The following is a 14,957-nucleotide window of genomic DNA, read 5'->3' on the forward strand; positions in this document are numbered from 1 at the left end:
CTTCTTTTTCAGAGTATGTATTGCCTTTTTTTTGGCTCTTTATATCCTATTTTTTCTTATTCTGTATTTTCCTCTACAGATTTCAAATTTATACATTTTATTTCTATTCTTTAGTTACTATGTTTGAAAATTTTATTTTTCATGCTTGATAAAGTCTAAAGTTATTTGGTATTTTAACCACACCCCCATCCCCCACCCTACAACCTCAAAAGATGCATGGACTTTAGCACAGTTTAATTCCAGTCACTCACTCCTGGATTCATAATGATTCCTCTTGGCTCTCTTGTGATGCTTCTTGGCTCTCTTAACGATTCTGTGTTTTCCACCGCAGATATATGGGAATTTCTGTATCTCTGTTAATGCACACACCAGCATGGGGGATTAGGTTGTTCTATCTGGACCCCCTCTCTGCTAAAATATTTCCTAGCTACATTACTCCATGTTGAGCAAGAGTTCCCTATGGTATGGTGTCCTCTAAATATTCCAAATGGGAATTAATATATGAGGCTTTTCTGTATTCAGAATTCCTCTTAAGTGTCTAGGCTTTCTAATACACTGTCATCAATTTATCCATTCTCTACAGGGTATAATGAGAGTCTATGGGACTCAGAAGGTGGCAGATATTTTTTATTGTGGGAAAGATAACTGAGAATAAAGCTATCATGCAGATATTTGCAGAGATAAAAGTAATGCAGATATTGACTGGAGCCTTGATCAAACTATGCTTGAAAGCCACTCTACCACTAGTTACACGAGCCAATAATTTCCCTTCGCAGTGGAAGTCAGCTTGAGTTTTTTCAGGTGTTTCTGTGGGTTTCACCAGATCCAGCAAGGAAATTAGAATTACTGTTAATGGATGTTAAAACCAGTCAGAAGTATCCAAAGTTATATAATTTGTTAAACAACCATATAGATATATTTTGTATTATATTTATCCTTCCATTCTTCCTTTGGTAGGAAAATTATCTCATTAATTCTTATATGAAAGGACTTAAAATTAGCAAACTTTTTTTGCAAACACATGGATTCCATTCTTGGACTTGAGGAGCATTTGACGAACAGGCTGGGGAGGCCTTGAGTAGTCTGGAGCCAGCTCGAAGCAGAGCAGAGTTAATGCCACTGCCACTTTACACCCAATTATGGCAAAATGCTGCCCAATGCAGTTCCTGGGGATACCCAGAAAGAAAAAATGGCATCTCATGAATTTATATATGGTTAGGAACATAAGCCAGTCTTTTTATATATGACAACTTTTGTAGGAAAACAAGATCCATTTTTTTTTCTGTCATCCATGCTGGATTACAGGGTCGTGCCATGATGCCCAGCTAATATTTTTGTATTTTTGGTAGAGACAGGGTTTTACCATGTTGGCCAGGCTGGTCTCGAACTCCTGATCTCAAGTAATCTGCCTACCTTGGCCTCCCAAAGTGCTGGGATTACAGGTAAGAGCCACCACTCCCAGCCAAGATCCATGTTTTAAACAAATTCCAATGTGGCAGAATCCAGCAAATGTCTTATTTTAAGTTAAGTAAGCCCCGATCAGAAAGTCCATTAATGTCAAGACCTGCAAACTGTGTCTCTATTATTTTTGGGCCCATCTTACAAGTAAGTGGTAGTGAGTTCTATCAACATTTGATTCTGCAGGGTCCACGTAACTTGAAAACCTTCCTTATATCATGATAAGGAAAAGCTACTTCTTACTATTATTTAGAGGCTGTGCAGTTGAAGCCTTAGGCATAAGAACAATAACCTGGCATACTCAGTGGATTGTGTTGTCATTTGGTAAATCGGGTGTCTCTCATACCAAACCAAAGGGAAACTTGGACTTCAGAACAACATTGCTCTCTGTAGGAACAAGAGCTGGAGGTGCCAATGTTGCCTTGTTCCTATAACAAGGTGGCATTCCCAACGCTTGTCCATTGCAAGTTTAAGTGTAGTCTTTGGGCCTGTCATGAGGATGGCCTTCATCAATTCACGCCCATATGCCAAGGACCAGAGTTGTTCTTTGTAACATTAACCAGTCCCTTTGGGGGCTCAAAAGGGTACCATCTGAGTGCACTGGTCACAAGAGAAGACAAGTCAGGTAAAATGATGGGGAGCAACAGCAGTGTCAGCTAACTGAAGGCCTGAAGGGAAGAAGCACTTGTCAGGTAAGCACTATTACACATTTCCATCAAGTTCACCAGCTTGAGTCTTTACCTTAATCCAGCTGAGAATGGTATGAAGGCATAGGGATGCATTTTTTCAGAACTTTCCCTGGAGAATCTCAAGGGGTTAAAGACCTGTAATGAGAGTGAAGATCCCAGTCCTAATCCCTCCAGCCCACCCCCACAAAAAGCAAAAACAAAAACAAAACCCTAGATATTGTTAACAGAATTCCAAAGCTAACTTTAGGAACTTACAATATCTGGATACTACAAGTCCTGCTTGATGTTCCCCAAAAGCCTACCACTGAAAATATATCCCAAGAAAGCAGAGGCTATATAACCTAGTGATAGATTAAACAGGCCCCGATAGTAAGAAGCAGCCCCAAATCATCCAGACAATCTGACTTGAGCAAATAGTGACTTCATTATTTTCCCTTCACAGTAAACACGTGCCTCTGTCATATAAAAACGGGCAAATAATCAAATTATTATCTTTTCTATTTGTCTTGGTTTCCAAATGGACTGAGCCAGTGACTTGGGCAAAGAAGAAAGGGGTGGCAATTCACAAGCTGAAGTCACAAGCTGAAGTTGTTCAGCTTCTGCCCGAGCGTCTCTGTGAGAGGCTGCCGATTAGTATCTCCTGGGCTGTGGGGTTGGTCTGAGCGCTGGTTTGCAGCCCAGGAGTGTGCTTGTTCTCTCCCAGGCCCCCTCTCCCTTTCACTCTCAGGTTAGTACTGAGTGTGAAGGAGAGTGATATTCCTAGAGACTAACTTCAAATATGCTCAAATCTTAAAAAAAGCAAAGAGTTCATAATCTTGCTACTTTAATTATGACCAGTAACAAGTGATTTGCAATACACTTCACAAGTCTGTGACTAGATTGACTACAGACATGAACAAAAGCAGAGAGCAAGGTGGTTAAACAGTGCAGTGTCAGTTGACTAATCACACCCCTCTACTTCCCAGGGGATGGTATGCTTCTCTTGACAAGGCATCGTCATGGAACACTGGTGATGATTATAAATGCAAATGTATTTTTCTCTTAAAAGCATAGGGATTTTGTTCTGTTTTGTTCTTTTCTAAATGACGGATGGTTATCCTAACTGCCCCCTCAACTGTGAAGATGCTTCTTTTCCCTCTTGGTGCTATCTTAGATGCCACTGGGTGCAGTTGGGACAATCATACCTGAGGGTTTTCCCAGAAATAGGGGTTGTGGTGAAGAGCCCAAATATTGATAAACACAGTTATTCCTGAGTAAACAGAATAAAAAGCAGATAAGTGCATGAGCAAAGATTCCTTCACATCTATTCATAGATTTCATAACCAAGGAAAGAATTCTACAATCATAATATCCTCAACCATTTAAGAAGCATCTATTATGATGACACTTAAATGGGTGCTGTGGAGATCAGTGAGATCTATTCTAGCCTTGAAGGAGCTCACAGTCCATTGGAAGAGACAAGCAATTGCAACACATGGTAATAAGTCAGAAGGAAGCCTGGGATGCTTGGGGAATTGAGTGGGGGGAACCTCATGTATAGAGCCTTTGGATGTATGCAGGAGAAAAGGCCCAGGAGAGGCATGCTGAGCTGAGTATCATGAAATCAGTTGGGGAAAACCAGGTAAAGAAAAGAAGATTTGAAGGAGACCCTGGGGGAGGTTCCAAGATGGCCAAATAGGAACAGCTCCAGTTACAGCTCCCAGCATGAGTGACGCAGAAGACCGGTGATTTCTGCATTTCCAACTGAGGTACCAGGTTCATCTCTCTGGGGGCTTGTCGGACAGTGGGTGCAGGACAGAGAGGGCAGCCCACGGAAGGTGAACTGAAGCAGGGCGAGGCATCGCCTCACCCGGGAAGTGCAAGGGGTCAGGGAATTCCCTTTCCTAGCCAAGGGAAGCCATGACAGACAGCACCTGGAAAATCGGGTCACTCCCACCCTAATACTGCACTTTTCTAACAGTCTTAGCAAACGGCACACGAGGAGATTATATCCCGCACCTGGCTCAGAGGGTCCCACGCCCACGAAGCCTCGCTCACTGCTAGCACAGCAGCCTGAGATTGAACTGCAAGGCAGCAGGCAGGCTGGGGGAGGGGTGTTCGCCATTGCTGAGGCTTCAGTAGGTAAACAAAGCATCCAGGAAGCTCAAACTGGGTGGAGCCCACCGCAGCTCAAGGAGGCCTGCCTGCCTCTGTAGACTCCACCTCTGGGGGCAGGGCATAGCTGAACAAAAGGTAGCAGAAACTTCTGCAGACTTAAATGTCCCTGTCTGACAGCTTTGAAGAGAGCAGTGGTTCTCCCAGCATGGAGTTTGAGATCTGAGAACGGACAGACTGCCTCCTCAAGTGGGTCTCTGACCCCCAAGTAGCCTAACTGGGAGGCACCTCCCAGTAGGGGCTGACTGACACCTCATATGGCCAGGTGCCCCTCTGAGATGAAGCTTCCAGAGGATTGATCAGACAGCATTTGTTGTACTGCAGTATTTGCTGTTCTGCAATATTTGCCCTTCTGCAATATTCGCTGTTCTGCAACCTCCGCTGTTGATAGCCAGGCAAACAGGGTCTGGAGTGGACCTCCAGCAAACACCAACAGACCTGCAGCTGAGGGTCCTGACTGTTAGAAGGAAAACTAACAAACAGAAAGGACATCCATACCAAAACCTCATCTGTACATCACCATCATCAAAGACCAAAGGTAGATAAAACCACAAAGATGGGGAGAAACCAGAGCAGAAAAGCTGAAAATTCTAAAAATCAGAATGCCTCTTCTCCTCCAAAGGAATGCAGCTCCTCGCCAGCAATGGAACAAAGCTGGACAGAGAATGACTTTGATGAGTTGAGAGAAGAAGGCTTCAGATGATTGGTAATAACAAACTTCTCCGAGCTAAAGGAGGATGTTCGAACCCATCGCAAAGAAGCTAAAAATCTTGAAAAAAGATTAGATGAATGGCTAACTAGAATAAACAGCATAGAGAAGACCTTAAATGACCTGATGGAGCTGAAAACCATAGCACGAGAACTACGTGATGCATGCACAAGTTTCAGTAGCTGATTTGATCAACTGGAAGAAAGGGTATCAGTGATTGAAGATCAAATGAATGAAATGAAGCAAGAAGAGAAGTTTAGAGAAAAATGAGTAAAAAGAAATGAACAAAGCCTCCAAGAAATATGGGACTATGTGAAAAGACCAAATCTACGTCTGATTGGTGTACCTGAAAGTGATGGGGAGAATGGAACCAAGTTGGAAAACACTCTGCAGGATATTATCCAGGAGAACTTCCCCAACCTAGCAAGGCAGGCCAACATTCAAATTCAAAAAATACAGAGAACGCAACAAAGATACTCATTGAGAAGAGCAACCCCAAGACAAATAATTGTCAGATTCACCAAAGTTGAAATGAAGGAAAAATTGTTAAAGGCAGCCAGAGAGAAAAGTCGGGTTACCCACAAAGGGAAGCCCATCAGACTAACAGTGGATCTCTTGGCAGAAACCCTACAAGCCAGGAGAGAGTGGGGACCCAATATTTAACATTCTTAAAGAAAATAATTTTCTTCTTTTTTTAATTATACTTTAATTTTTAGGGTACAGAATTTCATATCCAGCCAAACTAAGCTTCATAAGTGAAGGAGAAATAAAATCGTTTACAGACAAGCAAATAATGAGAGATTTTATCACCACCAGGCCTGCCTTACAAGAGCTCCTGAAGGAAGCACTAAACATGGAAAGGCCACTGCAAAAACATGCCACATTGTAAAAAACATTGATGCTAGGAAGAAACTGCATAAACTAACGAGCAAAATAACCAGCTAACATCATCATGACAGGATCAAATTCACACATAATAATATTAACCTTAGATGGAAATTGGCTAAATGCTCCAATTAAAAGACACAGACTGGCAAATTGGATAAAGAGTCAAGACTCATCACTGTGCTGTATTCAGGAGACCCATCTCATGTGCAGAGACACACATAGGCTCAAAATAAAGGGATGGAGAAAGATCTACCAAGCAAATGGAAAACGAAAAAAAGCAGGGGTTGCAATCCTAGTCTCTGAAAAAACAGACTTTAAACCAACAAAGATCAGAAGAGACAAAGAAGGTCATTACATAATGATAGAGGGATCAATGCAACAAGAAGAGGTAACTATCCTAAATATTTATGCACCCAATACAGGAGGACCCAGATTCATAAAGCAAGTCCTTAGAGACCTACAAAGAGACTTAGACTCCCACACAATAATAATGGGAGAGTTTAACATCCCACTGTCAACATTAGACAGATCGATGAAACAGAAAGTTAACAAGGATATCCAGGAATTGAACTCAGCTCTGCACCAAGCGGACCTAATAGATATCTACAGAACTCTCCACTCCAAATCAACAGAATATACATTCTTCTCAGCACCACATCGCACTTATTCCAAGATTGAACACATGGTTGGAAGTAAAGCACTACTCAGCAAATGTAAAAGAACAGAAATTATAACAAACTGTCTCTCAGACCACAGTGCAATCAAACTAGAACTCAGGATTAAGAAACTCACTCAAAACCACTCAACTGCATGGAAACTGAACAACCTGCTGCTGAACGACTACTGGGTACATAACAAAATGAAGGCAGAAATAAAGATGTTGTTTGAAACCAATGAGAACAAAGACACAACATACCAGAATCTCTGGTACACATTTAAAGCAGTGTGTAGAGGAAAATTTATAGCACTAAATGCCCACAAGAGAAAGCAGCAAAGATCTAAAATTGACACCGTAACATCACAATTAAAAGAACTAGAGAAGCAAGAGCAAACACATTCAAAAGCCAGCAGAAGGCAAGAAGTAACTAAGATCAGAGCAGAACTGAAGGAGACAGAGACACAAAAAACCCTTCAAAAAATCAATGAATCCCAGAGCTGGTTTTTTGAAAAGATCAACAAAACTGATAGACGACTAGCAAGACTAGCAAAGAAGAAAAGAGAGAATAATCAAATAGGTCCAATAAAAAATGATAAAGGGGTTATCACCACCGATCCCACAGAAATACAAACTACCATCAGAGAATACTATAAACACCTCTACGCAAATAAACTTGAAAATGTAGAAGAAATTGATAAATTCCTGGACACATACACCCTCCCAAGAATAAAAGAAGTTGAATCCCTGAATAGACCAATAACAGGCTCTGAAATTGAGACAATAATTAATAGCCGACCAACCAAAGAAAGTCCAGGACCAGACGGATTCACAGCCGAATGCTACCAGAGGTACAAAGAGGAGCTGGTACCATTCCTTCTGAAACTATTCCGATCAATAGAAAAAGAGAGAATCCTCCCTAACTCATTTTATGAGGCCAGCATCATCCTGATACCAAAGACTGGCAGAGACACAACAAAAAAGGAGAATTTTAGACCAATATCCCTGATGAATATCGATGCAAAAATCCTCAATAAAATACTGGCAAATGGAATCCAGCAGCACATCAAAAAGCTTATCCACCATGATCAAGTGGGCTTCATCCCTTGGATGCAAGGCTTGTTCAACATATGTAAATCAATAAATGTAATCCATCATATAAACAGAACCAAAGACAAAAACCACAGGATTATCTCAATAGATGCAGAAAAGGCCTTCAACAAATTTCAACAGCGCTTCATGCTAAAAACTCTCAATAAATTCGGTATTGATGGGATGTATCTCAAAATAATAAGAGCTATTTATGACAAACCCACAGCCAATATCATACTGAATGGGCAAAAACTGGAAGCATTCCCTTTGAAAACTGGCACAAGACAGAGGGATGCCCTCTCTTACCACCCCTATTCAACATAGTGTTGGAAGTTCTGGCCAGGGAAATCAGGCAGGAGAAAGAAATAAAGGGTATTCAATTAGGAAAAGAGGAAGTCAAATTGTCCCTGTTTGCAGATGACATGATTGTATATTTAGAAAACCCCATCATCTCCGCCCAAAATCTCCTTAAGCTAATAAGCAACTGCAGCAAAGTCTCAGGATAAAAAATCAATGTGCAAAAATCACAAGCATTCTTATACACCAATAACAGACAAACAGAGAGCCAAATCATGAGTGAACTCCCATTCAAAATTGCTTCAGAGAGAATAAAATACCTAGGAATCCAACTTACAAGGGATGTGAAGGACCTCTTCAAGGAGAACTACAAACCATTGCTCAACGAAATAAAAGAACACACAAACAAATGGAAGAACATTCCATGCTCATGAGTAGGAAGAATCAATATCGTGAAAATGGCCATACTGCCCAAGGTAATTTATAGATTCAATGCCATCCCCATCAAGCTACCAATGACTTTCTTCACAGAATTGGAAAGAACTACTTTAAATTTCATATGGAACCAAAAAAGAGCCTACATTGCCAAGACAATCCCAAGCAAAAAGAACAAAGCTGGCCAGGTGCAGTGGCTCATGCCTGTAATCCCAGCACTTTGGGAGGCTGAGGTGGGTGGATCACGACATCAGGAGATCGAGACCATCCTGGCTAACACAGAGAAGCCCTGTCTCTACTAAAAATACAAAAAATTAGCCAGGTGTGGTGGTGGGCACCTGTAGTCCCAGCTACTTGGGAGGCTGAGGCAGGAGAATGTGGTGAACCCAGGAGGAGGAGCTTGCAGTGAGCCAAGATCATGCCACTGCACTCCAGCCTGGGCGACAGTGCAAGAATGTGTCTCAAAAAAAAAAAAAAAAAAAAAAAGAACAAAGCTGGAGGCATCATGCTACCTGACTTCAAACTATACTACAAGGCTACAGTAACCAAAACAGCATGGTACTGGTACCAAAACAGAGATATAGACCAATGGAACAGAACAGAGCCCTCAGAAATAATACCATACATCTACAACCATCTGATCCTGACAAAAACAAGAAATAGGGAAAGCATTCCCTATTTAATAAATGGTGCTGGGAAAACTGGCTAGCCACATGTAGAAAGCTGAAACTGGATCCCTTCCTTACACCTTATACAAAAATTATTTCAAGATGGATTAAAGACTCAAATGTTAGACCTGAAACCATAAAAACCCTAGAAGAAAACCTAGGCAATACCATTCAAGACATAGGCATGGGCAAGGACTTCATGACTAAAACACCAAAAGCAATGGCAACACAAGCCAAAATTGACAAATGGGATCTAATTAAACTAAAGAGCTTCTGCACAGCAAAAGAAACTACCATCAGAGTGAACAGGCAACCTACAGAATGGGAGAAAATTTGTGCAATCTACTCATCTGACAAAGGGCTAGTATCCAGAATCTACAAAGAACTTAAACAAATTTATAATAAAAAATCAAACAACCCCATCAAAAAGTGGGTGAAGGATATGAACAGACACTTCTCAAAAGAAGACATTTATGCAGCCAACAGACACATGAAAAAATGCTCATCGTCACTGGCCATCAGAGAAATGCAAATCAAAACCACAATGAGATACCATCTCACACCAGTTAGAATGGCGATCATTAAAAAGTCAGGAAACAACAGGTGCTGGAGAGGAGGTGGAGAAATAGGAACACTTTTACACTGTTGGTGGGACTGTAAACTAGTTCAACCGTTGTGGAAGACAGTGTGGCGATTCCTCAAGGATCTAGAACTAGAAATACCATTTGACCCATCCATCCCCTTACTGGGTATATACCCAAAGGATTATAAATCATGCTGCTATAAAGACACATGCACATGCATGTTTACTGTGGCACTATTCACAATAGCAAAGACTTGGAACCAACCCAAATGTCCAACAATGATAGACTGGATTAAGAAAATGTGGCACATATACACCATAGAATACTATGCAGCCATAAAAAAGGATGAGTTCATGTCCTTTGTAGGGACATGGATGAAGCTGGAAGCCATCATTCTCAGCAAACTATCGCAAGGACAGAAAACCAGACACCGCATGTTCTCACTCGTTGTGGGAATTGAACAATGAGACCACTTGGACACAGGATGGGGAACATCACACCCTGGGGCCTGTTGTGGGGTGGGGGCAGCGGGGAGGGATAGCATTAGGAGATATACCTAATGTTAAATGACGAGTTAATGGGTGCAGCACAACATGGCACATGTATACATATGTAACTAACCTGCACGTTTTGCACATGTACTCTAGAACTTAAAGTTAATTTAAAAAAAGCAAAAAAAAAAAAAAAAAAAAAAAGGAAAACAAGATTCAGAAAGGAATTTGAGGCAGATAAAAAAGCATGAAGCCAAGCTTTAATACTTGAGAAAGCATTACAAATTTGGGTGACTGGGTGGTTGTATAACAGGATTCAGGGAGCAAAGTGTCCTTAGTTGAGCCTGGGGAGGTTGGCTGGGCTTGTACCCTAAAATGGCAAAGAGGTCATGCTAAGGATTTTAGGTTTAAACCAATATGGATCACCAAGAAATTTAAGCAGAGAGTGAGAGTATTATATTTTAGGTTTTGTTTTTGTTTTACCTTTTCTAGTCAGCTACTTGGGAGATTTTATTATACTTTGGAGCCATAGAACAATATGGGATATAGTGCCAATATGGCACTGAAGTAATAGTTTATCATGTTATGGAATATCCATTGATCAGGGTGGAGATGATATGGGTTTCTCATGAAATCTATACATATAATAAATTATATTAATGGATTCCTAATATTGAACAATCTTTGCAGTTTTGGAATATGACCTACTTACTTGGCCATGATACACTATTTTATTTTGTCTTTTTGTAGAGATGGGGTCTTGTTGTGTTGCCCAGACTCAAGCAATCCTCCCACCTTGGCCTCACAAAGTGTTTGGATTACAGGCATGAGTCACCTGCCCAGCCAATATATTTATTTTGATGAGCTATTGGATTATGTTTACTAATATTTTATTTAAAATTTTTGTATTTATATACATTAGTGATTTTTATCTAAAGATACTTTTGTGCAATTTTTAGTAGGTTTGTTATCAGTGTGATACTTCCTTAAATAACTTTCTAAGTTTTTATTTTTCTATGCTCTGGACAACTTATTACTGGGATTATTTGGTCTTTAAAGGTTTGAAAAAGTTTCTGAAAAACTGCATGGGCCTGGTTCCTTTTCAGGGGCTCTACAATTTTTCTCTAGTCCTGTGAAAATTGGCATGCTTAGACTATTTATCTCTACCAGTATCAATTTTAGTAAATTATGTATTATACAATTATCTAGTTTTTTTCCTGGTTTTTCAAGTCTCTGTGCATACACTTGTGTAATATTAGTTCGTGGTGTGTCTCTTTGTTGACCAGCCCCTCCCCCACTGGCTATTGTGTTTTTTGACTAGTTTTGCAACCGTTCTGCTTTCCATACCATTACCTTTTGCTTTCGCCTTTGTTAATTCACCTGTTTCCTTTTAGTTTACTCTTTTATTCTTTCCCCAACTGATTTATTTCCAGTTGTTTTCGACATCAGTGTTTAATTTAATTCTTTTATTAATAAAAATATTTCGCATTTACTATTATAGCTTCTCTTCTGAATGCTGCTTTAGTGGCAGACCATTAATTCTCATATGTAGAGTTTTCAGGGTCATGATTTGATTTTGTAATTTTGCTTTAGCCCAAGAGTTTTTAATGGATAAAACAAAAAACTCCAGATGAATGAAACTTTTTGAAAAATTTTTGTTGCTAATTTCCATTTTTATTGTCTTCATTTAAAGAATGCTATTTTGTAATGTTTCTCTTTTAGTAACTTTTTAAATTGTGGTCTAGTATACCGTCAACTTTAAGGAATGTTGCTGGTGTACTTAAAAGGAAAGTTCTCTATTAGTGGGGAAAAAGTTTAATATTGTACGCATAAAGTCTATCTTATTAATTATATTGTTTAGATAGTCTGTGTACTTTGATTTGTGTACGTCTTTGAAAGGCAGTTAAAATCTATTAGTAGGGTGCCTCTGTCTGTTTTCCTTTTCATTTCCTATAGTTTGCTTTAAAAAATTGCAGGGCCAGGTGTGGTGGCACGCCTGTAATCCCAGCACTTTGAAAGGCCAAGGCAGATGGATCATGAGGTCAGGAGATCAAGACCATCGTGGCTAACATGGTGAAACCCTGTCTCTACTAAAAATACAAAAAACTAGCCAGGCATGGTGGCACGCGCCTGTAGTCCCAGCTACTCGGGAGGTGGAGACAGGAGAATCGCTTGAACCTGGGAGGTGGAGTTTGCAGGGAGCAGAGATTGCACCATTGCACTCCAGCCTGGGTGACAGAGCGAGACTCCATCTAAAAAAAAAAAAAAATTACAGATGTGTAACTTGATATATAGGTATTCATAGCTGTCTTATGTTCATGATGAACTGTGGCTTTTAACATTATGAAGACTAATTTTGAAGTTCACCAATCCTGTTATGACCAGCTAGCTAACTGACTGAGGTAAAGACCTAATTTGGGTTAGAATGGCAACTGGGACACCATAACAGTGCTGCATCCACACAGCAAAGATCACTTTCAAAAAACAAATGGCCAGGTCACCGTTAACGAATTCTTCCTAAGTGATTAATCCACATATTGCTAGCTAATCAAGGACATTCAAGAAATTTGCTTTCTTAACATGGGTCAGAGATTTTGAAGTTTAGAGCTTCAAAAACCCAATGTTATTTAACTCTCCCAAGCCTCAATCATAGGGTCTAACTTCTATGGTTGGATTAGGTTTATATCCTGGCAGTACACATTCTTTCATTTTTCAATTTTTGGTTCCAGAAGCCTTGTTCTCTTTTAAACGGTTTCTGGAAGTCTCACCAAGATCATCAGAACAGACTGCCCACTGAAGTTCAGTAGTAGCTAATACCTAAGAAGTATGATTCACAGGCTCATCAATTATTAGCTCCTTTGGGTGAGTCTCAACTCATGGTCAATGAAAAAAATTTTTTTGAGATAAGGTCTCGCTATGTTGCCCAGGCTGGAGGGAAGTGGTGTGATTATAGTTTGCTGCAGCCTCAAACTCCTGGGCTAAAGTGATCCTCCCACCTCAGCCTCCTGAGTAGCTGGGATTACAGGCACATGCCAGTGTCCTCAGATGAGATATTTTTGATTTCCTAAGTCTGTTACTGTCTTTCTTAGGAGTTTCTGCTTGCTCTAGCTTACAGCCAGTGTCTAGTTGATTGCCATGGATCTCTCCCATGAGTGGCACAAAACCCATTGTGTTTTGCTCTATTTAGTGATTGTGAATTATTTAGGAGATTTCATAGAACACCCATTTTTTTGGGCCATGTCCCTCTCCACTGAGGCTTACTGGACCATCAGATTCATGGCACACACTAGGCCATTGATAGGTCTGTTATTGGCTATTGAGGGAATCTGTTTTGTTTTTGTTTTTGTTTTTCTGGCATGGGTTTTATTAATCCAGAGAATCACACTGACACCTTATGAGCATATTCATTATAATAAAAAAGCATGCACATTATCTAACAAAATTACATATTTAAACCAAGAATACGTCAGAAAAAGACACAATTTGAAAAACATCCTATTTTATTGAGGTTTTAAATCTCCATGGAGCCTTAGGGCAAAAAGAAAATAAAATTCATAACTTTTGGTGGTTTGTCATCTTTTTTCTTTTTGCCATGTAGAAAATCTGAAAACACCTCAATGACTCTAACTCAATGTCAGTGAAGATTCCCTGGAAAAAAACTTACGAAAGGCAGATTAATGACTGCCTGCAACTGATCTGATTTTATCTTCTTCCTCTCCCTAAATCTGTCTTCCTAACTCCAGTTTCTTTGTTCCACAAATCTAGGTAATTCTGAGCAAGGCTCAAAATATCTCTTAAGATTAGTGAAAAGGGATCTGCATTGTCCAGAAAAAAATGACTGCTCTCCCAGGAATCTGTGTTATCATTTGGGTCACAATCTGTTAGCAGAGTGGACATCCCCTTTTCTCTGCCAGAATAAAGAGTCTTTAATTGTACCCTAGGCTCTAAATTAAAAGTTAACTTTTAAAAGATAAAATATAATTTTTAGGATTGACTATTTCTTTTAGGTGATTAATATACACTTTTCCTGAAGTAGCTCAGCCTTACTGAGCTTATTAAGACCACAATTTCTAAACCTTTTCTATGGGATTAAAAAGTAGAGCCACCCTCTACTCTCTGCAAGTCTTTCTGCAGCCACCCCCTCATTGCCTTTTAAAACTGGGAATTTCTCTTCTTGTTTAATTTGGCAGCCCAATCCTACCTTCTTTTTTAATTTCATAAATTCATTAAAATCTCTCTCTCTCTTTTTGTTTGTTAAATACTTTCCTTCCATTCTTTTCACTTTTATGGGATTATTTCTTTTTGCATTTCAGTGTATGTGTATAAGTAGGATCTTAGGAGGGACAAGTGGCAACAGAATCACCCAAGTGGCTTTCTTGAGTTGGAACTTAGAATTTACCTAGACTTATGATTTATCTTTTATAAGTAGATTGGTTTGTAGATAGCTAAGTATGGAAATATAAAAACTAGGGGACTCTGGCAGATGAAGATTGACAAAGGCAATAGCTGAGACCATGGAAGCAAGGTTGTTGAGAAGGAAATAGCTGATATTCTAGGACTTGGATACTGTCTGGGTAAGGAAGATGGTGGAGGTGTGAGGATGACTTCTATCTTTCTCACTTAAAATTACTCACAGACAGTGGTGCCATTCATTAATGTAGCAATCCAGGAGGAGGAATAGGTTTAGGGGAAGGAGGTAGATGACATGCTTTCTTTTGGACATTTTGCACATCATAGTACGCTCAGAACAAAGCAAAGTGCCTAGAGCAGATGTTTACTAGGCAATTGTTGGGCCAACAAATGAAGAGAAGGGCACACATAATGTAGTAGGTCTTTT

At 39.9% G+C, this 14,957-nt stretch overlaps 1 pseudogene across 1 annotated transcript in view; it reads right to left on the reverse strand.

Moving 5' to 3' along the window:
- Positions 1-762: 762 nt before the first annotated feature.
- CYP4Z2P (cytochrome P450 family 4 subfamily Z member 2, pseudogene) overlaps positions 763-14,957 on the reverse strand; it is a 57,381-nt pseudogene continuing 43,186 nt past the window's right edge. The window contains exons 10-12 of the transcript NR_002788.2: positions 3,332-3,396; positions 2,200-2,282; positions 763-846 (exon numbers count right to left, since the gene is read on the reverse strand). The product of NR_002788.2 is annotated as a cytochrome P450 family 4 subfamily Z member 2, pseudogene (transcript). The remainder of the gene's footprint in view (positions 847-2,199; positions 2,283-3,331; positions 3,397-14,957) is intronic.

This window comes from Homo sapiens, chromosome 1 (assembly GCF_000001405.40).
Source record: "Homo sapiens chromosome 1, GRCh38.p14 Primary Assembly".
Classification (NCBI taxonomy): domain Eukaryota; kingdom Metazoa; phylum Chordata; class Mammalia; order Primates; family Hominidae; genus Homo; species Homo sapiens.